The following is a 26,980-nucleotide window of genomic DNA, read 5'->3' as shown; positions in this document are numbered from 1 at the left end:
ATTAGTATGGTTCAAATAAATTTAAATCATGCTTTCAACATATGAAATTTGTTATTCTGTGACACTCTGGTAATGTATCTTCTCTTTGTCCCCAAGGTTCTGCTAAACCAGCAACAAAAAAATGGGGTGGGAGTCGGGAAGCAAGCAGAGAAATGGGAGCTGGTTTTAAAAGAACTGATTAATTGGCCGGGCGCGGTGTCTCGTGCCTGTAATCCCAGCACTTTGGGAGGCCAAGGTGGGTGGATCACTTGAGGTCAGGAGTCCGAGACCAGCCTGGCCAACATGGTGAAACCCCATCTCTACTAAAAATACAAAAATAAGCTGGGCATGGTGGCACGTGCCTGTAATCCTAGCTACTGGGGAGGCTGAGGCACGAGAATCACTTCAACCTGGAAGGCAGAGGTTGCAGTGAGCCGAGATCATGCCACATGCCACTGTACTCCAGCCTGGGCAATAGAGTAAGACTCCATCTTAAAAAAAAAAAAAAAAGAATTGGTTAATAATCATGGACAAAAGAGAGAGAGATACAACCTAACCATCCAAAAATAGGTCACCAGTTCAAAAAGTCTTCACACAATATACTTGGAGTATTATGTAGCCACCAAAAACCATCTTAGAGAGTAGTTAATGATACATAGGGATGATCATGAACTGTTGAAAAGACTATAAAACCAAAATGACAATCTCTAATCAGTACTATAGGCATAATTTGCATTTTATTTTATCCATCTGTAATTTCTAAATTTTCTCTAATGAACATGTATTGTCTATATAATCATGTTATCTAAGAAAAAATACAGGTTTTTGGATTGCTTTTTTTCCTTTTAATGACTAACCTATGTAGACAGAAAGTCAGGAGAAGGCAGAAGGGTCAGCCTGCTCCTTTGGTGTTGCTGGCTTTGTCAGTGGCTTTGTCAGCTGTGGGCTTGGCTGTCCAAGGGAGGGAGATGTAAGCCATCCATCTTATCCACGTCTCATTGTTTATGTCCAAAATACATTCTCCCTGGAGATTCTAGATCGAGCACCTGCAAAGACTCAGATCTCATACCCAGTTTCCTGACCTCCCCAAATAGGTTTCTAGGTCCCTAATAGGCATTAAAAATACGTAATTATTTCTGGAGCTGTTCAACTAACCCAAATAACATGCTCTCATTCCATGTCCCCAAATTTCCCTTCTTGAAATATAAATTATTGACCTACTTTGTTAAAGACCATTTTAATGGCACTCTCCCACCCCAATGATAAAAATGAGACACTTGACACTGTCATCAGGTCCCATTAGAGAGGTAGAAAATAAGCCACTAAATGTTACCCATCAGAACGGCTAAGCAGTGAGCCAGAAGTTCTGTGCCCACCCTGGTTCTGAGCACATCCTCTCACTCTGAAATGTAACACAGGAAGTATAACAGGAAAGGGAGCCCTAGACAGTGCTGTTCACCTAGATGAGACCACTCACAGTCCGACTAAGAGTTCTCTAGAACCAGAATGTCTTAGTCACCTCAAAGCTGAGAGTCATTTTAGCTATAATTATAGAAATCCAAGCCGGACGCAGTGGCTCATGCCTGTAATCTCAGCACTTTGGGAGGCCAAGGCGGGCAGATCACGAGGTCAGGAGTTCAAGACCAGCCTGGCCAACATGGTGAAACCCCGTCTCTACTAAAAATACAAAAATTAGCCGGCTGTGGTAGCATGTGCCTATAATCCCAGCTACTCGGGAGGCTGAGGCAGGAGAATTGCTTCAGCCCGGGAGGCGGAGGTTGCAGTGAGCCAAGATCATGCCACTGCATAGAGCAAGACTCCATCTCAAAAAAAAAAAAAAAAAAAAAAAAATTCTAGAACTCCAGAAATCTGTTTCACGTCATTTCCATTTACCAAAGGCTTTGTTTTCTCCATAACTGAGATATCAGGGATGAATCCCAGCTACTCAGGAGGCTAAGGTGGGAAGATCATTTGAGGCCAGGAATTTGAGACCAGCCTGAGCAACACAGCAAGATCCTATCTCTAAAAACACTTTTTTAAACTTAGCTGAGCATGGTAGCATGCTCCTCTAGTCCCAGCTACTCAGGAAAATGAGGTGGGAGGAACACTTGAGTCCAGGAGTCCGAGGCTGCAGTGAGCTATGATCACACCACTGCATTCCAGCCTGGGTGATAAAGGAAGACCCCAACTCTTAAAGAAATTAACTTTTTAAAAAATGTATTAGGGCCAAACACCATGGCTTACACCTGTAATCCCAGCACTTTGGGAGGCCAAGGCAGGAGGATCACTTGAGGCCAGGAGTTCTAGACCAGCTGGGCAACACACTGAGACCCCCATCGCTACAAAAAAAAAAAAAAATGTTTTTTAATTAGCCAGGCATAGTGGCAAAAGCCAGTAGTTCTGGCTACTTGGGAGGCTGAGGTGGGAGGATTGCTTGTGCCCAGAAGTCTGAGGGTACAGTGAGCTATGACTGTACTACCACACTGGGTGACAAGACAAGACTCTGTCTATTTAAAAAAAAAAAAAAATACCAGGGATCAGTCACCTCCCTGGTCCTTTGGCAAGGCAAGAGAGAGATGGTAGAAGGCCAGACACAGTGAACAAATGATGGGGGTGTGTGGGGAAAGGTGAAGGGAAAGAAAAAGAAGGGAGGAAAGCAAATGAGAGAAAGAGAAAACATACAGATGGTAGAAAACACGCTTTCTACATTTGGACTGGAATTTCCTAGAACAATGCAAGGTTGCTAGTGAAGAAGAAGGGCTTTCCTGTTAAGACCACTGACACCCCCAAACATCACCATTTCAGCATATAAAAAGTTTACTTTTGTCAATAGTCCCTAAAATGGTTAAAGCTGAAACCCTGAAGTGCAACCAGCCAAATCAGGATAGTACTGGCAATTTTTTTCCTCTGTAGAAATGAAGGAATGCATCTACCTACTGGATTTGGGGTACCCATTCTCAAGCAGAAATAACACGCTCTCGTTCCAATTACTCTCTCTAAAGCAAGATCAACACCAAGGGACAGACAAGACAAAAGAAGTGTGAAACCAGAGGCCTAAAGGCCCCCTCGGCAGTGAGTGTGCATTAGTCAGGTTGCACTAGTAAATCTGTCAGAGGACAAGAATGTGTGAAGAGCAAGAACAGTGCCAGGTCGGAACATCCTGGTGTTGGAACTGCAGCATTCTGAGGAGCTGCAAATTGTTTGGATGCACTGAAGGAAAAGGGTATGTGGCTTCACAAGATCAAGAGACGAAGCAGATAGGAGAGTGCCACACTTGGAGACATGAGTTAAAAATCCTAAGGAATCCCGGCACTTTGGGAGGCCGAGGTGGGCGGATCACGAGATCAGGAGATCGACACCATCCTGGCTAACACAGTGAAACCCTGTCTCTACTAAAAATACAAAAAATTAGCCGGGCATGGTGGTGGGCGCCTGTAGACCCAGCTACTTGGGAGGCTGAGGCAAGAGAATGGCATGAACTCAGGAGGGAGGCGGAGCTTGCAGTGAGCCGAGATCGCGCCACTGCACTCCAGCCTGGACAACAGAGCAAGACTCCATCTCAAAAAAAAAAAAAAAAAAAAATCCTAAGGAAGTGGTTGCCTAGGGATGAGAGGTAGGGATGGAAAGAATGGCAGATATTAGCTAAGGACTACAGGATTGCTTTGGGGGAATGATGAAAATATGCTAATATTAATCGTGAAGATGAATGCAAAATCCTGTGCATATACTAAAAGCCATTGAATTGTATGCTGCAAATGGGTAAATTGTGTCGTGTGAATTGTATCTCAAAAAAGCTGTTTTTAAAAAACATCGTCCATGGTCTCTGCCTACCATCGCCTACCCCCATGCTGCCCATTTGGGGAGCTCAGTAATATGGCTGATTGAGACGGCACATTAAGAGATATGAGTCATCCTTCTCCAGTTTGACATTTTACAAGTTTCTTGCTTAACCATCAAAAAACAAATTGTCTTTCTTAAAGAGACTCAGTTTAGGGGCAGTAAGGATTAGACTCCTTAGGAAAACAAGCAAAATTTAAGTTATCTTCAACTGGTGATCATCTTCATGTACAAATTACGTACGGTTTCAAGCACAAAATCCCAAGCAAGCCCCACTGGGCTGTGTCTTTTCCTTGCAGTATGGTATGAAGTTAAGCTGGCCAGGAGAGGTGGGGGAGATGAGAAGCAAGCCAAAGTTATATCCCAAAAGACACAGAGGCCAAAAGCTATCAGTTCCACTCCAATTTCCTATGCAATGGAGCAGAGCTTCCCTGCTGGGGAACCGATTACAAGCATGCTGGCTACGTAAGAGGAAACAGGCTTTCTTTCCAGAGAGAAACCCATCTTGCTGCTCTAAACAGAGCTGGCAGCATGGTAGTCTGCTGACCTTGCACACTGAGCTCTGGGCAGCTTCGGTCAGAAGGCCGGCAGATTGTGGCAAGTCCTGGCCAGCAGACACAGATGCAGCAGGAGCATCTGGATGCCGAAGCCTACGGATGCTGAGGCACTCGCCTCCAGTGCCTGCCCTGGCCTCCACAATGACATATTGTCCACAGCAGGGGTGGTGTGGCTGATGATCTGCTGGGTAAGTCGCCCACGGTAAAGTCTGTGTCAAACATTTCAGTGCACTAGTCAGATACAAATGCAAGAAAACCTTATTTTTGGAAGAGCAACCCACAGATTTTCTTAAGAAGCAAATAGCAGAGTGAAAGCAGCACTAATTTCCTGGTGGTGACACCCTGGGATCACACCAGCAGCAGCTGTGGTCTGCCCAGTCATCCAGCCCTGCTTTAAAAGGGTGAGAACCAGCTGAGATCAGAACAGAGACAGCAGTATTTGCCAGAAATGAGTTGCCCAGGGGCACCTCCAGGTAGAAGGGGGAGATCAGCTCTCTCTGGGTTTAAGGCATCTCAGCTCCAGAGCCATCACCCAGTCTCTCTCCTCCTCTCCCCAGATCCTGAGTTCCCCTTGCTGTGCAACAGCTCAACCAGCTCATTATGCTTCCTGAATGTTTTTAAAGAAAAAAAAAATGTGAAACATAATTACAGGCTCTGACCCCAAATGACTTTAACCCTGACAAGAGCACCCAAGACTCACTGTGGGAATACAGTTTCCCTGTGATTGCCCAGGAGCAAAAGTTTCCTTTCAGGAGCTCCCCCACATCCGCTGGCAATGCTGCTGAAGGGTTCCCGCTCACAGGCCAAGCTCACGGAACAACTGGATCCCAGGCGTGGAGCCACACTGGCTGACATGTTCTCAAGCTGCTAGAACTTTTACGCTTCTGAAACCCTCCTGCATCATTCCTAGGCCTGCAGTAATGCAAACACCCTCCAGATATCTGAGATGTGCCCACGAGGCTGGAGAGCACAGCTGTGCACATTAAGGAAGAACAGGATTTGGGGACCAGATTTATGCAGAATCTCTGCTGACCTATTTAGACCTAATGTGTGGTCCAAGGACTCCCACCATGCAAATCACTTGGGGTGAGATGGAAGGGAGTGGGGGCGGGGGTATAGGAAATTCGGGTTTCCAGACCTGCCTAGAGCTCATGCATCAGCATTTCCTTGGGTAAAGCCAGAGAATCTGCAGTTAGGGGAATTCTTGTACACCTTCACTTTTAAGAACCACTATCTTACAAGGACACTCTAAAGGCAGATTCCAATAACAGGTCACTTACCACAGGCCTGCTTACACTGCTAAGCATAATATCTACAATTATCTCAGCTGCTCCTCACAATAATATTGTAAGGTATAATAGATATTTATTATCCTCCCTTGCACTTATGCTGTTTTCTCCAGTTTCATCTCCAAAGGTCAAATCCAAAGGCCTCCAAACAGTCCTCACCTAAACTGGCCAGGATGAAACATCAAGTCATCAAAGCCTCTCCAACTCTCTGCTACCCACCTGCTAAATGTGGATGCTCCCTATGGTTTCAGCTTCCACTCTCTTCTCTCACTCCATGCCAGGCGTTCTTCACCCTTGCTGCACATTAGAATCACCTGGGGAGTTTTTAAAATGTCCCATGCCCAGACTGCAACCCAGCCAAATTATATCAGAATCTCTGAAGGTGAGTCCTGAGCTCCTCAGGTGATTTCAATGGACAGCAGAGGCTAAGGACCCCTGCGTGGGTCTCACTCTTATAGATTCAGTCACTCCCAGGGCCTCAAATACCACCTGGAGAGAGCCAAACCTATACCTGTAGCCCTCATCTTCCTCCAGAGTTCCAGACTTGTGCTTCCCACAGCCTTGTGGGTGTCTCCACCTGCATGCCCTGCAGGAACTCAGCAAGGACAAACCTTACTTCACTCTGTATCCCCCATCACACACCACGATTCCTCTCCTGTATGCAGTTCAGCCATCCTCCCAAGGCCTAAGAAGGAAACTCTGGAGATGCCCCTAACTCCTCTGTCATCCCTTCCTCAGGCACTATGCTGCTGACTATGTGTTCTCTTCATCCACACCTGATCATCTACTCTCAAAAACACCATGAATCGGCCAGGCGCAGTGGCTCATGCCTGTAATCCCAGCACTCTGGGAGGCCAAGGCGGGCAGATCACGAAGTCAGGAGATTGAGACCATCCTGAGTAACACGGTGAAACCCCATCTCTACTAAAAAAAAATACAAAAAATTAGCCGGGCATGGTGGCACGCACCTGTAGTCCCAGCTACTCAGGAGGCTGAGGCAGGAGAATCACTTGAACCCGGGAGGCGGAGGTTGCAGTGAGCCAAGATAATACCACTGCACTCCAGCCTGGGCAACAGAGAGAGACTCCATCTCAAAAAAAAGCCATGAATTCTGCATTCCACTCTATAACTTATCAGTGTTTATTTGAATATTCAAATTGTGATCCCACTGAGTAAAACAGATTTTCAGCAGACTGTATTCCCTGGCACACAGCCTCCTGCCCCAGACACCTGCACCCAAGCCTAAGGAGTGCATTGCTCCCCTCCCTTTTCCCCCAGGTGTGATGGGCAGATGGTGTCCATTCTCTCACATACTTCTGCCTTGGGACAGTGTTAAGAAGAGAATGACTCTCATAACACTGGTGAAATATGGGATTATTTTAGGCAATACAATGACAAATACTTTTCAATGTAATGATTATGATTTAATAATTATTTGAAGATATTTAGAAAAAAAAAGTTAACCATATCAAACTTGCAATTTCTGAATGCAGGTTCAAAAGCTCCTTTTTGAAATAAATGTATTTTGTAATGAGTAGACTTTTTTCAAAGTAAATAAAGGGTGGTGAGGTGGGGCAAAAATAACAGAGGTACCCTTCACATGACTGATCATTAGTGACCACACTGCCCCCTTGGGCTCGATAAGCCTTCAGTTGCCTTTCCCACAGGCCTCTGCTCCCTCCCCCAGAGGCCCTTTTAAACTGCTAGCAATCTCCCCTTTGTGCTGTGGGCTGCCTGTTTCCCTGCCTCCTCTCAAAACAGTGAGCATCTAGGAGACAAGGACTGTGCCTGCTTCATGCCAGGAACCTGGCCAATGTAGCCTTCTACATCAACAGGAGCTGGAACAGAGATGGCAGAGGACATGTGGCATGATCCTGTCCTCTATCAGGGAAAAGTGCTAAGCTCTGCAGGAGAAGCTGCCAGAGAGAGATGTCATGCAAAACTCCCGACTCCCTCACCAGCTCCCAGGAATTCCAGTGCCCACCGGGAAGCTTCTATGATAGGCAACGTGTCCCCTAGACCAGAGTCACGGTCTCCGGTCACAGAAGGCAGAAGACTGCCCTCCTTCAACAAACCTGCCGAATCTCCTGAATGTTACACGCACCGCACAAAGATAAAAACTCAACAGCACCATCACTAGGAACACAAACAAGGTCTCTGGGATCCTACATTCAACTGATTTCTAGGTACAGCTGTCTCAGTTTAGGGAATGATTTTTGCTGTGGCTTTTAATCCCAGAATTAACAATACACACAAACTGGAAAGGGGAAAATGGAGAAAATTCTAAGTATTGTTTTATTTACAGAGACCATTCTGTAATAAACTGTCTAAAATGGTGAGTTTCCTTCCTACTCTAAAATCATGGTTTATCAAATTCAGTTCACTTAGAACTTTTCAGAAACACTGTTATGAAATACTTATTAAAATGAAAAATGTACATACCCTTTGGTCCAGCAGTTTCATTTCTAGGAATTTGTCACTCATGTGCCTCATGCCAGAGGTGCCAGGATGTTCACAACAACATTACTTGCAATGGTGAAAGGTTGGAAATAATCTAAATGTTTATTATTAGGGGAATGGTTACATACACTATATTTAATTCATACAATAGAATACAATGCAATCTAACAATGAGTGAGCTCTCTATGTACCAATGTAGAATAATATCTAATATATTAAAAGCAAAGGGTAAAACAGCACATATGGCACAATGTGTATGTGTATTTGTTGGCACATGCATAAATTACATCTGAAAAATACCAAAGAAACCAATAAAATGCCTCCAGAGGAAGAAGTGGGGATCAGGAGACAGGAAGCATTGGAGGGATATTCACATTCTCTTTTGTCTCTTTTGAATTATGAACAACTTATAGGTATTACCTATTTAGGCAACCCTTTTAAAAAGAAACATAGCTATGAGTTAAAGTAAAAATGCCTTATTTTATTTGTTCGACTAATATTCATTGTCTACCCCTGACCCACAAGTGTGATAACGAGATACGCAGTCAGGAATTTGCTAAGGCTTTGGTCCTATCTGTTTGACAGTCTCCTTGGCACAGAAACAGCCAAAGTTCAACTCAGTCAGCTTGGAGATCTATCTGAAGTCTCAGAGGAGGAGGCAGTTCATATTTTCAAAGTGTTCAAATTAGCCTGCAGTAAACTTAAAAGCAGATGTGACAGCAAGATCAGATGAGTTTTGAAACTTACCAGCGGTATCTTTTCAAACCATATAAAATAGGAGTTTTTTGAGCTTTTGCTGTGTGGCAGCAGCAAGAGTCAAAGAGTAGCTACTGGCTTGGCCCAGAGAAACCAGCTAGTTAACAGTTTGGTGTGGAATTCACAAACCCCTCAAACCTTTGTCTATCTGGCAAAGAAAACACACACACACACACACACACCACCCTAACCCCAGGAATCTCCTCTTTCTAAATATAGCAGGAAACTGCCCAGTCTCCAGCTTACCCAGGGCAGCATTCTGTGCCTTCCAATCAAGGTGAAATGAGCCAGACACAAACATGCCATGACAGCTCGTGGCCCACACTGCCAAGCTGTTTTCCTTACCATTTCCTCTCTCTCCATTCTGAGGTGCTACAAAAATGTGTAAACCCCAGTCACTATAATTTGTAAAAATTCCTCTGGCTGCTAATGCTGTTGTTCTCACCCTAAATAAACATGATTTCCTTCCTAGTCCCTGAGCCTGGAGGTTAGAATAGACTCTTAGATATGGGCAAAGCCCCATCCCATCTCCCATCTGACCTATAAGAACATGCCACTCAGAAAGCATATCAAGCAGTTCCAGGGCTAATAGGGACACATCCAATTAATTGTCATCTCTCTTTCCCTGGCACACATACACACACACTAAGTTTTTTTTTTTTTTCTATCCCTTGGTTGTTTTAAAATCAGTGTCAGTGTCTAACAGAAGGGTCTGTTAAGGATGCTTCTGATTTAACCAAAAGATTAAGCTTCAGAAACAATCTAACATACTCAAAGGAGCACCAAATTATCAACCGGCTACAAGGATGCAAAGGACCTAAACAACAGATGTCAAAGGGCTTGTAAAAACTGGAGCCAGCAACCATTCCACTTGAAGGAATCCATCTCAGGGAAATGCTGGAATCCACACACAAAAGCAGGTGTGCAAATAATCACTGCAGCACGCCTTCTAATAGTGAACAACAGAGACAATCCAAATATCCTTCAACAGGAAACTGAGTAAATACCAACTATGGCATATCCACATAAAGCTCTCTGCAGTCATTAAAAAGAATGCACTACATGCATGTACTGACATGGAAGGTCTTCAAGACAAATGATCAACTCGAAAAGCAAAACACAAAATAATCCTTATAGTATAATCCCATTTATGAAAAAAACACGCAGAAAAAGGACAAGAAAAAATGCATACCAAACTGCTAACAATGATTGTTAGCTAGGAAAAGGGGGTGCTTTTACACTGTATACGTCTATACTCTTTGATGCTTGCATGAGAATGTATTCAGGAACTATCCATGTCATAATATTTTGTCTTTGCATTATAAGATTAGGTCATTCATTCATATTGTTAATTTTACCCCTAAACCTAATCCTTCCCAAGCAAACTATTTTAGCAAATAGTACCATCATTCACATAACTGCTCAGGCCAAAAATATCTGAATCATTCTAGACTTCTTTCTTTTCTCTCATAGCCCATATGCTGTGCAGCAAATCCTGTGGGCTCTACTTCCAAAAATACCCAGCCTCTGACCACCATCTGTGATGCTGTCACCCTAGCCCACGGTGCCATCATCTCTCACCTCAACTATTACAACAGCTTCCTTACTGGTCATCTTGCCTCCATTGTTGCTCCACTACGCTTGGTCTCTACACAGCTGCCTACATAATCTTTTTAAAGTATGAGTACGATCATGGCACAGCCTTCCATGGCTGCCCATCACACTTAGAATAAAACTCTAAGTCCTTTCTAGAATTCAAGATCCCTATGACCTTGCCCTGGCCTATCTCTTTGTGCATTCGCCTTCACTCTGCTACAGTCACAACTGGCCGCGCCACTGGCCCCCAAACATCCCACTCAATCTCCCCGCTAATGACTCCTACATTGGTTACCTCCATCCAAAAAGCCATTACTCTAGTCTAGGGCTCTGGAGGACATGGTAAAGGCAGAGCAGGGTCTCCGTATTTCCTGAACGAAACTCTTCTTCTGATGGCAAAAAATATATAATTTGAAACAGAAGGGGTTATAATTTTAAAAGGTAAAACGAGGCTCACTCAGAAACTTAAATCTAGAAAAACTACTTTGACTGCTAGGTTAGTATTCCTCCACTGGCTAATTTTTAGAAATGCAATGACCTTGACAGGATAACAAAGTCCCCTTTACAACTTGCTTTCCCCAGTAGCTCAATGGTGATAACAGTTCTTCCTTGGCCGGTTCTCATTTTGTCCATTGAGAGGGCTTGGATCATTAGCTTATGCAGGCCAGAATTAGGAAGTCCAGCCTGTGTGGCATCTGCCCAGAGCGATGCCCACTGGCCTAACAAGAGCAGAAATCTGAACCACAGCCTCATAAGAACCACTTCCTAATTCCTGAGATCCTGAAACTGATCAGTTAAATACATCTAAGGTTGAAGCACATGGAAACAAATAGTCCCCAAAAGAGGGCAAATGGAGAAAATATACTAAGTGCTGTTCACTTAATCATCAAAAGTTTTATGAGACAAAGTAAAGGAAAAAAAAGATCTGAATAGACATTTCAGCAAAGATGACGCACCAATGGCCAACAAACACATGAAAAGGTGCTCATCCTCATTGGTCACCAGGATAATGCAAATTAAAACCACAACGAGATACCACTTCACACCCACTAGAGTGGCTACAATCAAAAAGAAAGACAACAACAAGTATTGGCGAGGATGTGGAGAAATCAGAATCCTCATACATTGTTGGTGGGAATGTGAAACGGTGCTTCTGTTATGGAAAACAGTATGGTAGGTTTTTTTAAATAAACACAAGTTTAAATTAAACTTAAACATAAATTTACCATACAACCCAGCAAAATTCTACTCCTAGGTAAAAAATGAAATTAGAAGTGAAAACATATATACACATGAAGACACGTATGCAAACATTCATAGCAGCATTATTCATAAGAGCAAAAAACTGGAAATGACCCAAATCATCAGCTGGTGAATGGATAAACAACTTATGGTTTACAAAATGGAATATTTTCTAGCAATAAAAAGGAACAAACTACTGATACATGCTACAACACGATGAGCCTCAAACACAGCATGCTTAGTGAAAGAAGCCAGATGCATAAGACTACATATTATATGATTCCATTTAGCTTAATTTTTCAGGGAAGAGAAATCTATAGAGACAGAAAGTAGTAGATCAGTGGTTGTATGAGGCTTCAGGCAAAAATGCAGTGCCTGCAAATGAGCATGAGAAAGCTTTTCGGGGTGCTAAAAATGTTCTAAAACAGGACTAGGATGATGGTTGCATAACTCTGTAACTACAAACCACTGAATTATACACTTAAGAAAAGTGAGTGGCTAGGAGCCGTGGTTCATGCCTGTAATCGCAGCACTTTGGGAGGCCAAGACGGGAGGATCACCTGAGACCAGGAGTTCGAGACCAGCCTGGGCAACAACAAAGTGAGACCCCCATCTCCACAAATAATAAAAACAATAAAAAATAAAATCTTAAAAGGTGAATTTTATGGAATGTAAATTATAATTCAATTAACCTTTTATGAAAAATTCCCCCAAAAACATGCTGACCTGAAGCAAGTAACTGCTTTGAAAGGAATAAATATAAATATAGTGTTCTTGTGAGAGACAACCATGATCAATTGGTATGTCAATTCCAAGTGTTAGTGATCATACTGAAGGGAAACGAAATGGAAAGAAAAAAATACATTTTTATGACTTTAAAAGAGAAAGAATAGTCTTTCCTAATGACAGCTGTTGATAATTAAAACTCAACAATAAGATATTTAGCCATGAAGAGAAATGAAATCCTAACACATGCTATTAACATGGATGAACCTTGAAAATATTTTGCTAAGTGAAATAAGCCAGATATTTATGACAAATATTGTATAATTCCACTCATAAGAAGTACACAGAATAGGTAAATTCATACAGACAGCAGAATAGAGGTTACTAGGGTTGGGGGAGGGGAAAGTGGGGAGTTATTGTTTAATGGGAACAGAGTTCCAGTTTGAGATTATGAAAATGTTCTCGAAAGAGATAGTAATTATACAACATGGTGAACATGCTGAAAACCACTGCATTATATACTTAAAAATGACTAAAGTGGTAACCGTTGTGTTATGTATATTTTACAACAAACAAACCTCGACAAAGAGAAATAACCCAAATAAAAATGGGCAAAAGATCTGAAGACCCCTCACCAAAGAAGATATGCAGATGGCAAGAAAGCAATATGAAAAGATGCCAAACATCATATGTCATAAGGAAATAGCTAAATTTTTTAAAATGAGATACCACTACACACCTAGTAGGATGGTCAAAATCCAAAACACAGACAAAACCAAGTGCTGAGCAGAATGTAGAGCAACAGGAACTCTCATTCATTGCTGGTGAGAATGCAAAACAGTATAATCAGTTTGAAAGCCGGTTTGACAGTTCTTAAAAAAAACTACACGTACTATTTTATTTTATATATATATACATTACTATATAATCTAACAATTATACTCCTTGGTATTTACCCAAATGAGTTAAAAACTTATTTCCACATATAAACTGCACGCAAATGTTTATATCGGCTCTATTCATAATTGATAAAACTTGGAAACGACCAAAATGTCCTTCAATAGATGAAAGGATAAACTATGGCACATCTAGATAACAGAATATTATTCAGCAATAAAAAGAAATGAGCTACCCAGCCATAAGAGGACATGAAAGAACCTTCAGTACACATTGCTAAGTGAAAAAAAGCCAATCTGCAAAGGCCACATACTGTTTAATTCCAACTACATGACATTCTGGAAAAGGTAAAACTAGAGAGACAGTAAAAAGATTAGTGGTTGCCCGGGGTTAGTGGGGAGGGAGGGATGAATAGGTGGAGCACATAGGATTTTTAGGGTAGTGAAAGTATTCTGTATGTTACTATGATGGTGTTTATATGTCATTATACATTTGTCAAAATCCACAGAATGTACAACACAAAGAGTGAGCCCTAATGTAAATTATGGACTTTAGTTAATAATGTTATATTGATATTGGTTCATCAACTATAACAACTGTACTATGCTAATGCAGGATGTTAGAAATAGGGGCAACTGGAAGGGACAGGTATGAGGCGCTATGTGGGAACTTTCTACACTTCCCACTCAATTTTTCTGTGAATCTAAAACTGCTCTTAAAAAAAAAAAAAAGTCCATTAATGATTTAAGTGCAGGGAAGGAGGGTTTAAGCCAAAGTCAATGAATTGAGAACTACAGACTGGATGCAAATTTTTTCAGTCCAACTAAGAACACAGAATGGAGTAAAATGAAGGGATGTTTTTCAGCCAATGTTATATAAAAACTATAAAAATTTGTTTGAATTTAATTTGCTGTCATTTATGTTTGTATGAGTAATATTCAAAATGTCAATTACTACCATTTACAAATAATTAGGAAATGCCTTTGATTTTCTTTATTCACAAGGTACTGAAGCAAAGCAAAGGATCTGGGGAAAATATTTTGCTACCCAACTCCACATCCATTTGTTCCATTAGGATTTTCTGAGTAACATAATTACTCCTAAACAAAGCAGGTTGGCATCGAACATCCTTTGAGAGTTTATGCCATTCAAGAAGCGCTTATGTATTGCAAAATGCCCACGTTTAATTCTAACAAGTACAAAAGGGTGACAGGCTTTAAAGCATGTAACTCAGTGCTGACCTTTTTACTCTTGCTTTGAAAGGCAAAGAGGATGAACCACTTACTTACCTTACTGAATCACACCAAGAACAGGTTTTTGGCCTCTCTGTTCAATGCTATATTACTCAGTGAAAAGACAATCACTGATAATCATTCAGTGCTACCCCCAAAAGAAACTCTGCTGCTTTACAAAGCCAAGACATATTCAGCCACTCTCATCTGTCCCTCTAGCCTTCAAAGCCCGTGATGGAGAAAGAACTCCAAAACTTCAGAGGATAATACAAAATCTTAGCTGGTCTTTGCTACCCAGGGCTCGGAGTCTAAAAAACAACTGGCAATGTTTTCACTTAATCAAGCACCTGCTGCATGTTTCTCCTTTACGGGATCTAGATCTATAAAGAATTTGCATCTCCATTGCCAGCATCTCATTCATAAAGTGGAAGTAATAGTAACAATGATCTACCTGAACTTTGGCAATCCCTAGAGGACAGTTTTATTGCCTATGATTAACACTCAAAACCAAGTTAAATCCAAAGAGCTAGAAATACTAGTTATAAAATAACTGTAAAATAAAATAAAATATGGCTATAAAATAAAGCCACAAAAGTTTAGAGCTATAAGAGAACATAGATTATCTAAACCCAGTGTTTATATAATTATGTATTTATGTTTAAGTTGTACTGGGAAAACACTTCTGTTTATAGATATAATAAACATGACTGAAGAAAAATAATACACAAACATTAATATAGTAGTATACCACGCAGCAAGCATCTCATGATATCGGAATGTCTGAAATCCAGGACACAATGGTTGACTCCACCCTCTATTTTTAGAGGTCACCTGACCTGATCAAGTAGTAGTTAGTAGTGGTAGAATACATTAGCAGAGCTGGACGTAGAGAGAACAGAACACCGAGATCCCCATCAGTCTTTCCTCCAGATTACAGGGCTGATCCATTCCATTAGACAGCTTAAATAACACTTCAACTCTATCACTGCAATGTTTCTTCCTACCAAAGAATTCTTGCCCCCAAAAACTAGTGGTAGGAAAACTGCCAGTCACCCAAACGCACCCTCCTCAGATTCAATGCCAAAATAGAAAACACAAGTCCAAATTCTAGGGCTTGGTGCAAGAGGTTCCATTCCGGGCAAGTGAGATGGGGCAGAAGTCAAGAGCTCTGCACTGGCAGGGACTCCATCTCTGGCTCAAACCAGGTGGATTCAAAAGCTCTGGTCCTGCTGCTAGAGCTGTGTGACTCAGAGGTAATGCTTCCCCCAGTCTCTGTTTTCTCATTTGCAGAATGAATCTAAGCACATGAGATAATTATATGTGAAGCAGTGCCTGGAATGAAGTACACCTCTGTAAGCACAGGAGCAGCAAAATATTCACTCCTACACCCTTAGTGCCCAGTGCAGTACCCAGTACACCACAATCACACCAAAAGTTTGCTGAGTGAAGCAGAGAACTCACTAAAGCCAGCCTGAGGTTCAATCAAAATTCCTGGGCCCAACCTGTAAGTGGGCCCCTAACTTACTCCAAACCAGGGACCCCCATCCCCTAAACCAAGAATGGCCTTGATTATTGACAAAGGAAGGGTCTGTTCATATGTTTCAGGTAAGGCACAGCCTAAGAATCTGCCTCTAAGAAGCCTCATCACATCACAGTCCTGTGTTCATTTCATCCCAAAAGATTGGCACTTTGGGCTGCCCTGGCATTCCATTGTCTCTCTCTTCATTTTTAGAAGCAACAAGCTGACAAAATGACATCTCAGGCACCTGACTTTTGTAAGTGCCCTTTAAAGAGGCCTGGGAACAATTCCCACAGCTACGACTCTACTCTGCTAAGGCAAGATTTCTTAGCTGAAAGGTATCACCTACTAAGAAATCCATCACAGAAACAGATACAGTAACAGAGTCAGAGACAATTCCACTATCTGCCTTCATGTGGTTCCTGATTCTTAAAACTAAAAGATGGACTGAGCTATTTTTAAATGGGGAGACTGAAAAGGCACCAAAAACGTTCTCACAATCCAAAGCACTCATCCCTAGAGCACGCTTATTTGGCCAGAAAAAGAAACTCTCTGGCTCTGCAAAAGTGAAGCAGAATGCAAAATTGCATCTCTCCCCTTGTACCAAAAGGAAAAAACGCAAAAATGGTTTTACAAAAGGTCCAAGAATCTTTGAAATACGTTTGAACTTCTTTCTGAGAATTATGGATATTCCTTCTCAGACCTTTACAAGGATAACGGAAGAGGTAAAAAGGAGAGCTTGGGAGCAGGAGAGGGAGAGAGTTGGGATATGTACATTCTATTTTTAAACCCTCGCCCACAGTTTAGAGTAAAGGAACACTCTGATTCTCTACTCCCACCCCTATCACCTTCTGCTAAACACAAGAATCAGAACCTGCGCACGTACTGATTCCAGATTTAGAGATTACTGGCTGCCAATACTCCAAGGAATCGCAAGCTAACCAAGCATTCCACCCAGGGAACCCGGCGGCCTGACTAGGCTGGAGCTGCGTACAGGGAGCGAAGCAGTCACAACCCACCTTTTCCCAAGGGGAGGCAGCGCCCCCTCGGCAGGGCACGCTCCATTCTCACGGTTGGGCACTCAAGGCTGAGCAACTCTGCCCCTAAGGGAGCTGGAGCTGTGGACACGATGGGATCTGCCCGCTGGCTGCGGCGCGCTCGGCACTCTGGCCCCACTGCTGGGACACCTGCGTGCCGCGCACGCCCACGCCCACCCGCGCTGCCCCAGAGCACCACCCGCGCTGGGTCACCTCCCGACCATCCCTGAACGCAAAAGGCGGAGCGACGGGTCTCTCTCTTCATCTGATGGTTGCTGGTTCGCCCGCTTTACGTATCCTTCCTGCCTCGGAGGCGTCGACACCCGTCCCCCAGTGTACCGGGAGCAGAAACCCGGCAGACGCGCGGGCAACCCGGGCTAAGCGCCACCTCCCAGTTCCTCCCGCCCCGGAGCCGCGTCCCCGAGGGGCTCGGGACACTCACTCTTGAGCGCGCTTATGAGTGACTTCCCGTCCTTGATGAGCTCCTTGATGAATTTGTTGGTCTTGTCCAGCTCTGCTTCGTGCGACTTGAGCGTCTCTCGGAAGTGCGGACTATCGAGGCAGCAGTCGCTGAACTCGAGCGCTGGGAGCCCCATGGTGCGCGCGGCGCCCAGCCGGGGGGCGCGCCTCCGCCGGGGCCCGGGCCGCCCGCCGCCCAGAGCACTCACGCGGCGGGACCCCGGCCGGCTCCCCCGACGGCCGCCGGCTCCACAGGTGTGGCGCTGGCTCACTCCGCGCGCGGTGTCCGCCGGCGCGCAAGACTCCCGAACCGAGCTCGGACCCGGCCGAGGTGCTGCTGTTCCGGGCGCGGGCAACGGAGCGGATCGCGAGCAGGAAACGCAGCGCGGACCCGCAGCGGCGCCGGGAAGCGAGCGAGCGGGCGAGCGAGTGCAGACGCCGCCTCCCCGCCTCCTTCGCTAGCTAGCTCTCGGCAGCCTCGAGCGCCCTCTCACAGCAGCCTCGGCCGCCCCGCCGGTGTCTGGGCCGCTCGAACCTGCTAGCGATGACTTAATCCCCGCCGGGCCAATCAGCGCACCCTCCCCTGCCCGACCCTCAGGCCGCCCGAGGACGCCCGGCCCTTCCGCGGTCTTGATCCAATCAAAGGGGCCTGGAGGCAGGGTCTGCGGCTGGGGGCGTGGCCCTCGCCAACGCCTAGGTCCGCAGCGCAAACTCCGCCTCCTCTTGCCCTCCCAGCGTTGCAGACCCCGAAACCTAGGGGTGAGCGTTGCTGTGCACCCGCCCCCGCTACCTTGCCCGCCTGCTCCAGCCCGAATCCGAGCCACGCATGGCGAGTCTGCTGGTCCTGGGGGCCGAAGAGCCTCGATGTGCCAAGCATGAAAAACCTGGGGACTAGGGCTGCAGTTCACCACCGCCTGCCCTGCACTGCGGGGCAACCGATTTTACACTCAAAATACAGCCCCCTGCTCCGGGAGAATCCCGAGCGACCAAACGCTCCTCTTCCAGTCAGGCAGAAAAATGTTATTTGCATCTTAAAATTACCAGCTCTTGCCTGCAGTCTTCCCGCCCCCTACGGTCCGTCCCCCTCACGGCCACTCCTGCTCAGAACCCGCCCACGGTTCCCCTCAGCCGAAGGAGCTCACATCATTACTAGAATTTCAGCCGCCTGTTATTTTCCTGCTCTGCATCTAGCACAATTTTACATAATAAGATGACAGTCTACTGCCTGTCATCCTTCGCTACACGGTAAGCCCCACGAGGGCAAGTGCCCCTGCAATTTTCTTGTCCGCTGTTGCATCCTGGCACCTAGCACAGTGGCTGGCATTTAATAACAGATATTGAGCACTTACTATGTGCTGTGTGTGCTACGGTGATTGATAAATGTAGAATAAATGAATGGATCCTTTCCCAGAGCCATCTCCACCTCCCACGCCCAGTGCGTTGCCCTGTAGTCCCTCTGTTCGACCGCAGGACTCAATTCTGGCATCTCACTCGTTGCACTTGTCAGGCTGGGTCCCACAGGGTGTCTAGTGCTGAATTGTTAACTCCTGGAGGATAGGGACTGTCCTTGAATAAATTATCTCTATGTCTAGGAACCAGCAGCCCTCCTTCAGCTACGTGGGGGCTTCATGTTTGTTTGGGTTGGTTTGTTTTTTAAATAGGTCTGCTATGTGCAGGCACTAGCCTAGATGGTAAGAATACAAAGATGAATAACAGAATGAATTTAGCTGCTGGTGGTATTAGGTGAGATGGAAGCAAACAAGCGATAACCATGCCTTGTGATAGGATAGAAGGCCTGGGTGCTTGGGAACATGGATTTTTCACTCAGGAGGGGTCAGAGGTGTCCCATCTATATTAAGAAAGCAATTAATGTATTAAATTCATAAATGGAGCATGGTGGCTCACACCTGTAATCCATAACTTTTGGAGGCCAGGTGAGAGGATTGCTTGGGGTCAAGAGTTCAAGACCATCTTGGGCAACACAGCGAGACCCCCCCCATCTCTACAAAAAATTGTAAAATAAATAAGTAAATGTATAAATAAGTGAATGTGATCTCTTTGATAGGTGTATCTACAAATTTAGACTTGATAGCAGGTCCAGACAGCTATCTGATAGATAATTACAACCCAAAAACAATTGTTCTTCACTTGCCAAAGATGAGAAAGATCTAGAATGGAAACCCTATGAAAGTAAATCTGTTTAATGCTTTATCTTGAGCACCTAAAGGTAGGTGTTCTGGTTATCTATTAATACAGAATAAATGATACCAAAAGTTAATGGTTTAAGACAACAGCAATCATTTTATTTTCTCTCACAATCTCTGTGGGTTAGAAATTTAGGGAAGCCAAAGGCTTGAGGTCTCTCATGTGATTGCAGTTGGATGGTGACAGGAGCTGGAGGAGTGGATGGTTAGCTGGGCATCCCACTTTTCAGGTAGACTCAGGGCTTCTCCATATGGCCTTTCTCTGTGGCCCAGTTTAGGCTTCCTCCCAGTATGGCAGCCTTAAGGCTCCAGTGTGAACATATACAGCTCACAAGGAGAAAGGTGCATCACCTTTTATGACCTAGCCTTGTGAGGTGAGAGGCCTGCAGGACTTGTTTTCCAATCACAACCCCACTGATCAAACCAGGATTCATTCCAAACGGGATTCAGTGAAGCAGCCAGCAGAAACCAGCAGGCAAGGAAAAAAGACACTTTTAGTTGCCCTCACTGCTCATTAGCATAGAGACACTCCCACCATTGCCATGACAGTTTACAAATGCCATTGCAACAGGCCATGGCAATGGCCTGGAAGTTACCTTATATGGTTCTGGAAACTCCCTGCCTCCTTTCCAGAAAGTTCTAAATAACCCACCTCTTAATTAGCATATAATTAAAGGTAGGTATAGGTACAGCTGCCAACAGCCCTGTACACTGCCCATCCTGAGCACACTCCCTATGGGATAGCCCTGTTCCACAAGGAGCAGCACTGATTCAATGAAAGTTGCTTTCTCTTACCACTGGCTTGCCCTTGAATTCTTTTCTGGGCAAAGCCAAGAAGCCTCCTGGGCTAAGCTGCAATTTTGGGCCTTGCCTGCCCTGAATCACTTGGAAGCCACATACTTCTACCACCTTCATTGGCTACAAGCAACTCATAAGCCCACCCAGCTTCAAAGGAAGGAGATTAGACTGTACCTCTTGATGGGGGAATGACAAGAATGGGAGATATTATAGTAGCTATTTCTGAAAAACATAATCTGCCACAGTGGGCCCAGCATAAATGGTAACATTCAATACATGCTAAATGAATGAAATAAAATGTGATCCACAATTATTTGTTTTATCCCATTGAGGAATAGTAGGCAAATGTGTGTAAAATAATATATATGTATTAATAATAACAACAATAATATATCAGCTATCATTTGTTAAGCTCTCAGTTTATGCCAGGCACTATGGTAAATTATTTACATGCATTTATAGCTGGCATAGTGGCACACGCCTTTAATCCCAGCTACTCAGGAAGCTGAGACACAAGAATTGCTTGAGCCCAGGAGGCAGAGTTTGCAGTGAGCTGAGGTCGTGCCACTGCACTCCAGCCTGGGTGACGGAGAGAGACTCTGTCTCAAAAAACAAACAAAAAAATTATTTACATGCATATAATCCCTACAGGGTGAGACTGGTACTATGATAGTTCCCATTTTTTCAGATAAGAAATTGAGGCCCAGAGTTGTAACTTGAACCAGCTTACCGAGATAATATTAATAATTCTATGTGGCACAAACATATAACTTAATATGCCCATTCACAGACAAATATGTAAATATGTGAATAATGTGTAAATTTCTCATAAATTTAATATGGAATTTCCACAAAAAACCTCCCACACTTTCAGCAGTATTACTAGAAAGAGAGAATCAGAATGCAGCAGTACAGGCTGGGTGTGGTGGCCCAAGCCTGTAATCCCAGCACTTTGGGAGGCCTAGGCAGGCAGATTACTTGAGGTCAGGAGTTCGAGACCAGGCTGCCCAACATGGTGAAACCCCGTCTCTACTAAAAGTAAAAAAATTAGCCGGGTGTGGTGGTGAATGCCTGTAGTCCCAGCTACTTGGGAGGCTGAGACTGGAGAATCGCTTGAACTTGGGAGGCAGAGGTTGCAGTGAGCCGAGATCGCACCACTGCACTCCAGCCTGGGTGACAGAGTGAGACTGTCTCAAAAAAAAAGAAGAATGCAGCAGTACAGAAACTGGCGCATGGAGGGTGCAGTTGTCTTTCTCTTCCCAGAAAATCTGCTCATAAGGGTAGAGATTTTGTATTATTCAATGCAGCAACCCCAGCTTAGAACAGCAATTGGAACTTCAAAGGTGCTGAACATCAATGAGCCGGACACATGTTTAATAAGAAAGAAACAGGACTCATGTGACAACATCAGTTATGGCCATGCACATAAATAGAAGAGAACAGTTAAGCCGCAGAAATCACTTTCATATGAAATAGAGAAACAATTTAGGCAACATTTGGCCTAAATCCTTTGGATGAATGTCTGAATTCCTTAAAATTAGCAATTAGTTCAAACAGTTCTGCTTTCAGTATCAGTATATTTTAAATCTACATTTTTTCTGGCCTCAATGGTCCAAATAACTTTACACCTGCCATGCAATTACCTCCCATTTGTAGAAACTTTACCACTGGCAAAGCACTCCCATGTACATTGTCTCTGAGTCCATATAATCAGAAGTGGGCATGGACCAGTCACACATTGGTTCCTGAACACCAGCTTGTGAACAGATCTGATCCGTGATGAAGCATTCATGGGTCCTTATGTAACTGAGAAGTTCAGGGGTAGATCCAGCTTCAAGGCAGCCTCTGGGGATCTAGAAGATGATAACAGCACAGGTTTCTCTCTCCATCCCCAAGCTGACCTTTGTCTGTGGTGGCTTCAGTCTCAGTGACTCTCTCAGCTTCTCCAAATTACGCCCAGCAATATTAGCAGGAAGAGAGTTTTCTAAGAATTCCAATAGAAATGACAAGACTGGAGTCAAGGATAAAACAGCCCCACTCCAAAAACGTAAAGTACTGGGGTGAAGTTGTTCCACTAAAGGACAAGCACAGCGCATTTAACAGGGAAAACGGGGATCACTGCTGCACAGGCAGAAGCAATAATGTATAGTGCATTTGACCTGTCCCCAACTCCCTCACAATGAATGCGCCTCCTGCCACATTCTCATGGCCCCATAATTCTAGTTAGCACTTATTCATGCTTTTTTATGGTTGATGCCATATTTTGTGCTGCACAGTGACTTCTCCTTTTTATTATTACTAGACAAGATACCAGTTTTCCTATTTTAAAATAACAATTTAAGGTTGATGTAAATGTTCTATATCTCAGTTAGGGTGGTAGTTACACAGGCATTGCATTTGTCAAAACTCATGGGTGCGTTTTATTGTGTGTAAACCTCATTAAAGGTTGATTTTAAAAAATAATGATGATGGGCCTGGCGCGGTGGCTCATGCTTGTAATCCCAGCACTGTGGGAGGCCAAGGAGGGTGGATCACGAGGTCAGGAGATCGAGACTATCCTGGCTAACATGGTGAAAACCCGTCTCTACTAAAAATACAAAAAATTGTCTGGGCGTAGTGGCACGCGTCTGTAATCCCAGCTACTCGGAAGGCTGAGGCAGGAGAATCGCTTGAACCTGGGAGGCAGAGGTTGCAGTGAGCCAATATCGCACCACTGCACTCCAGCCTGGGCAACAAAATGAGACTCTGTCTCAAAAATAATAATAATAATAAAATAATGATGATGGCAGTGATGCTGATATTTATTAAGCTTTTGCTATGTAACGGGATCTGTGCTAAGCACTCTATTACATTTCTTTATTTAATGTTTACTACAATCCTGAGAATTAGATGCTGCTACCATCCCCATTTTACAGGTAAGGAAACTAAAGCTTAGAGAAGTAAGATGCCTAATGTAGTTACTGATAGAGCTAGACTTAGAATTCAAATCTATCTGGCTTAAATAACTACATCCATATAAAATATCTATAGAAATACATTTTATATGTCTAAAAACATTGTTAAATAATAATAGCCTAACACCTAAAACTTGAATGAGATCACATATGAATGACAGAGGAGCGATTTCATTATCGCTCCTTATGAGCTGTATGTGGTTTTCCAGGGCTTGTTGCTGGTATGTCCCAAATATGTCAATAATTATACAAGCCTCTAATTTGCTTTAGCTTTAAATCACAGGCCCTACAATTTATGTAGAAGCAGTTGATTGAAACAGACATAAAATTCTCAGTTTCCTTAAAGAAAAAAGAATAATCTATCCTCATAAAGCCACTGGCTCATAGTTCTTTAAGGGAGGTAGCAGCACCTATTTAACATTCTTTGGCTCAAGAAATTAGTGAAACTCATAGCATTTGTTCTACACAAGTTTTACATGTTAGCAATACTTTTATTTTCAGTTTTCATGATTTATTTCATGCTTGCCACTTTTCTACCTAATATTCACTCTTTACCTTACTCATTTATTGAAAGTGCTTATATAACATTTACTGTATACCAGATACAGTTCTAAACACTTTAAAAATATTAACTCAATTAATACTTAGCAACCCTATTATTATCTTATCTCCCTTTACAGGGGAGGCAAGTGAAATGAATCACCTAAAATCATATAACTAATGAGTGGCAGAGCTGAGATTCTCAAAAGGTAGTCTAGCTCCAGACTTAGGTTACGTTTCTAGCAGAACCCCAATGTGCCCAACTAAAGAATTTAATTTCTTAGGTTTTCACACAGCTGGTGGTGGCCATGTGCCACTTTTCTGACCACTGAGATACACTTGGAAGTGTATTGGCTGGGGCTTTGGAAAGGTTTGTGTGTTTTTTTGTTCTTGTTGTTTTTTTAATAAAGAGACAACTGCTGACACACACCTTCTGCTTACTTCATTTCCCTATTCTTTTTGTCTTGAATGTGGATGCAATGCATGGAGCAGCAGCAGCCATCTTGCAGTCATGAAGATGAATATCACATGCTAAGGATGGCTGGATGGGAAAACAGAGGGAGCCAGGTAGCTTGGTGACACCCACGAGCCACAATACCCATCTCCAGAGTACCCACCTCCCAACTACTCATCACATAAAGAGGGAAAAAACAACCTATTTGTTTAAGCTACATTAATGGGGTTTCCTGTTACTCAAAGTCAAAACTACTCTAGTTGATATAATGCATTAATTATAAAACCTATTGTTTCACCTCCTCTTGGATTTTCAGCAGCTGCATTAATCCATGGTTCTTAGGCAGTTTTCACATTAGAAAATCATAGTTTTAAGGATGATTTCTTAAACATTAAAAGATGATATCTGCATTTACAGGGCAGGAATATGTATTAAATGAGGAAAAGTATTTAAGCAAAAGGACACTCTATTGATAAAAATAAACTGTTCAAAAGCTGATATGAAACCAGAAAACTATCAAAGACAATTTCAACAGAGACCCAGAATTATCTGGGTCAATAAAAATAATTGGCCTATTCTTCTATAATTGTTGGTGCTAAAATGACCAAATAAATTAGTTCACTTCAGTAACCTAAACTCAAGCATTCCTATGTGCCTTGCTCTCTTTCTTGCCTCTGAATCTTATACATGAGTATATGCTTTAAATGGACAATAGCATATTATAGATCCTGAGAAATCCTGTGTTAAGTAATCCTTGAGATTTTGCTTAACCAAGTATTTCTCGTAGTTCTTTGAGCACAGAATCCTGTTTTTCCCCCAAACATTACATCCTATGCATAGTGTTCTATAAAATGCATTTAGGAGGGTGTGGTGGCTCACGCCTGTAATCCCAGCACTTTGGGAGGCTGAGGCAGGTGGATTACTTGAGATCGGGAGTTTGAGATCAGCCTGGCTAAGATAGTGAAATCCCCTCTCTATTAAAAATACAAAATTAGCTGGGCGTGGTGGCGCATGCCTGTAATCCCAGCTACTCAGGAGGCTGAGGCAGGAGAATTGCTTGAACTTGGGAGGCGGAGGTTGCAATGAGCCGGAATCACGCCACTGCACTCCAGCCTGGGTGACAGAGTGAGACTCCGCCTCAAAAAAAAAAAAAAAAAAATGCATTTAGGACATAAACACTAACATAGACTGCAGGAATAAGGACATATAAGATAAAGCGATAATTTCTAGTCTTCTGTCATTTTAGTTATTGCAAAATAGGAAGTCTGTCATGAAGCATTAGCAAACTTTCTAAAGCAAGTGGGAAACTATCACTTCCCAACTTCGAATCCTTATTGATGGATGGGCTTTTCATCCATGGGAATTCACATTTCTTTTGATGGCTCCGGTTTTGAGATGATGCTGTGGTTTTTAGTGAGTGCATGTGTTTGTTGAAGGTGGCTTAGTGGCAGTGAAGAGGGCAATATTTCAATAGATAAAGTATTCTGATCTTCTTTTCATCTATGGAGAAGCCAGGATGAAAAATCAATGCTAAAATGGATTATCCTCCATCTAAACACAGGGCGAATGGGATACAATGTCTGTTAGGGGAGAGTGAATATTGGCAGATTTCTTTACTTCCCCATTTTCCTTTGTATTTCTTTTCTGGAATTTCCCATCACTATATTTCTATTTTTGACTTTAAAAAGTTAGTAGCTGTTGGCCGGGCGCAGTGGCTCACACCCGTAATCCCAACACTTTGGGAGGCTGAAGCAGGTGGATCACGAGGTCAGGAGATCGAGACCATCCTGGCTAACATGGTAAAACCCCATCTCTACTAAAAATACAAAAAATTAGCCGGGCGTGGTGGTGGGCGCCTGTAGTCCCAGCTACTTGGGAGACTGAGGCAGGAGAATAGCGTGAACCCGGGAGGCTGAAGTTGCAGTGAGCCGAGATCGCGCCACTGCACTCCAGCTTGGGATACAGAGCGAGACTCCATCTCAAAAAAAAAAAAAAAAAAAAAAGCTACTAGCAGTTAAATTCTCAAACTAAAGCATTCTATCACTATAAAGACTAAACATTTTTAAAGATTGTTTTGCCTGAAAAGTAACAATGTGAACTACTCCTGTGCTTCCCAAAGCTGGTCTGATGATATAGGCCAGTCTAGAAAGTTTACTTTGATCCATAATGAAATGAGAAAAACAATGACCATGTAAAGTTTTTCATGAAGCTTAATATATTCCATTTGAAAGAGTGCTTTTTGAGATTATGTTCTTCCTACAAATTTGGCATTAATATACTTTTTTGTATTAACATACTCCTTTTTTAAATAAAATGATGAGTGAAAATAGTAGCTGTGTTTTTAAGAAATACCCACTGGGGCTCACGCCCAGGAGCTGGGCGAATCACCTGAGGTCGGGAGTTCGAGACCAGACCCGTCTCTGCTAAAAATACAAAAAAATTAG

The 26,980-nt window shown here is 43.3% G+C and overlaps 1 protein-coding gene across 31 annotated transcripts in view, besides 3 other annotated features; it reads right to left on the bottom strand.

Annotated features, from left to right (window-relative positions):
- Positions 1 to 18,108, bottom strand: part of ARHGAP26 (Rho GTPase activating protein 26) — a 458,635-nt gene extending 440,527 nt beyond the window's left edge. For 22 of the 31 annotated variants that reach the window (XR_007058592.1, XR_007058593.1, XM_005268398.6 and 19 more), the window contains exon 1: positions 17,110 to 17,258. Coding sequence is in view for 26 of the 31 variants with exons in the window: in XM_005268398.6 (XP_005268455.2) it covers positions 17,110 to 17,155 (46 nt within the window). In the remaining 5 variants the exon portion in view is untranslated. Of the gene's footprint in view, positions 1 to 836; positions 1,805 to 17,109; positions 17,259 to 17,569 lie in introns of those variants that run through there. The other 9 variants (NR_146198.2, NM_015071.6, XM_005268402.5 and 6 more) reach the window with 2 other exon arrangements.
- Positions 16,634 to 17,469: an enhancer, noted in NCBI's record as "H3K27ac-H3K4me1 hESC enhancer chr5:142150581-142151416 (GRCh37/hg19 assembly coordinates)". NCBI's record gives its function as "activates a minimal SCP1, AML or CMV promoter by ChIP-STARR-seq in naive H9 embryonic stem cells {active_cell/tissue: H9 hESC(naive)}" and the evidence as "EXISTENCE:reporter gene assay evidence [ECO:0000049][PMID:30033119]".
- Positions 17,765 to 17,884: a silencer, noted in NCBI's record as "silent region_16476". NCBI's record gives its function as "represses an Ori minimal core promoter by ATAC-STARR-seq in GM12878 lymphoblastoid cells {active_cell/tissue: GM12878}" and the evidence as "EXISTENCE:reporter gene assay evidence [ECO:0000049][PMID:35858748]".
- Positions 17,895 to 18,304: a silencer, noted in NCBI's record as "silent region_16475". NCBI's record gives its function as "represses an Ori minimal core promoter by ATAC-STARR-seq in GM12878 lymphoblastoid cells {active_cell/tissue: GM12878}" and the evidence as "EXISTENCE:reporter gene assay evidence [ECO:0000049][PMID:35858748]".

Source organism: Homo sapiens, chromosome 5 (assembly GCF_000001405.40).
Source record: "Homo sapiens chromosome 5, GRCh38.p14 Primary Assembly".
Lineage (NCBI taxonomy): Eukaryota > Metazoa > Chordata > Mammalia > Primates > Hominidae > Homo > Homo sapiens.
Note: the sequence above shows the minus strand (reverse complement) of the source record. Positions and strands in the feature narration are given on the sequence as shown.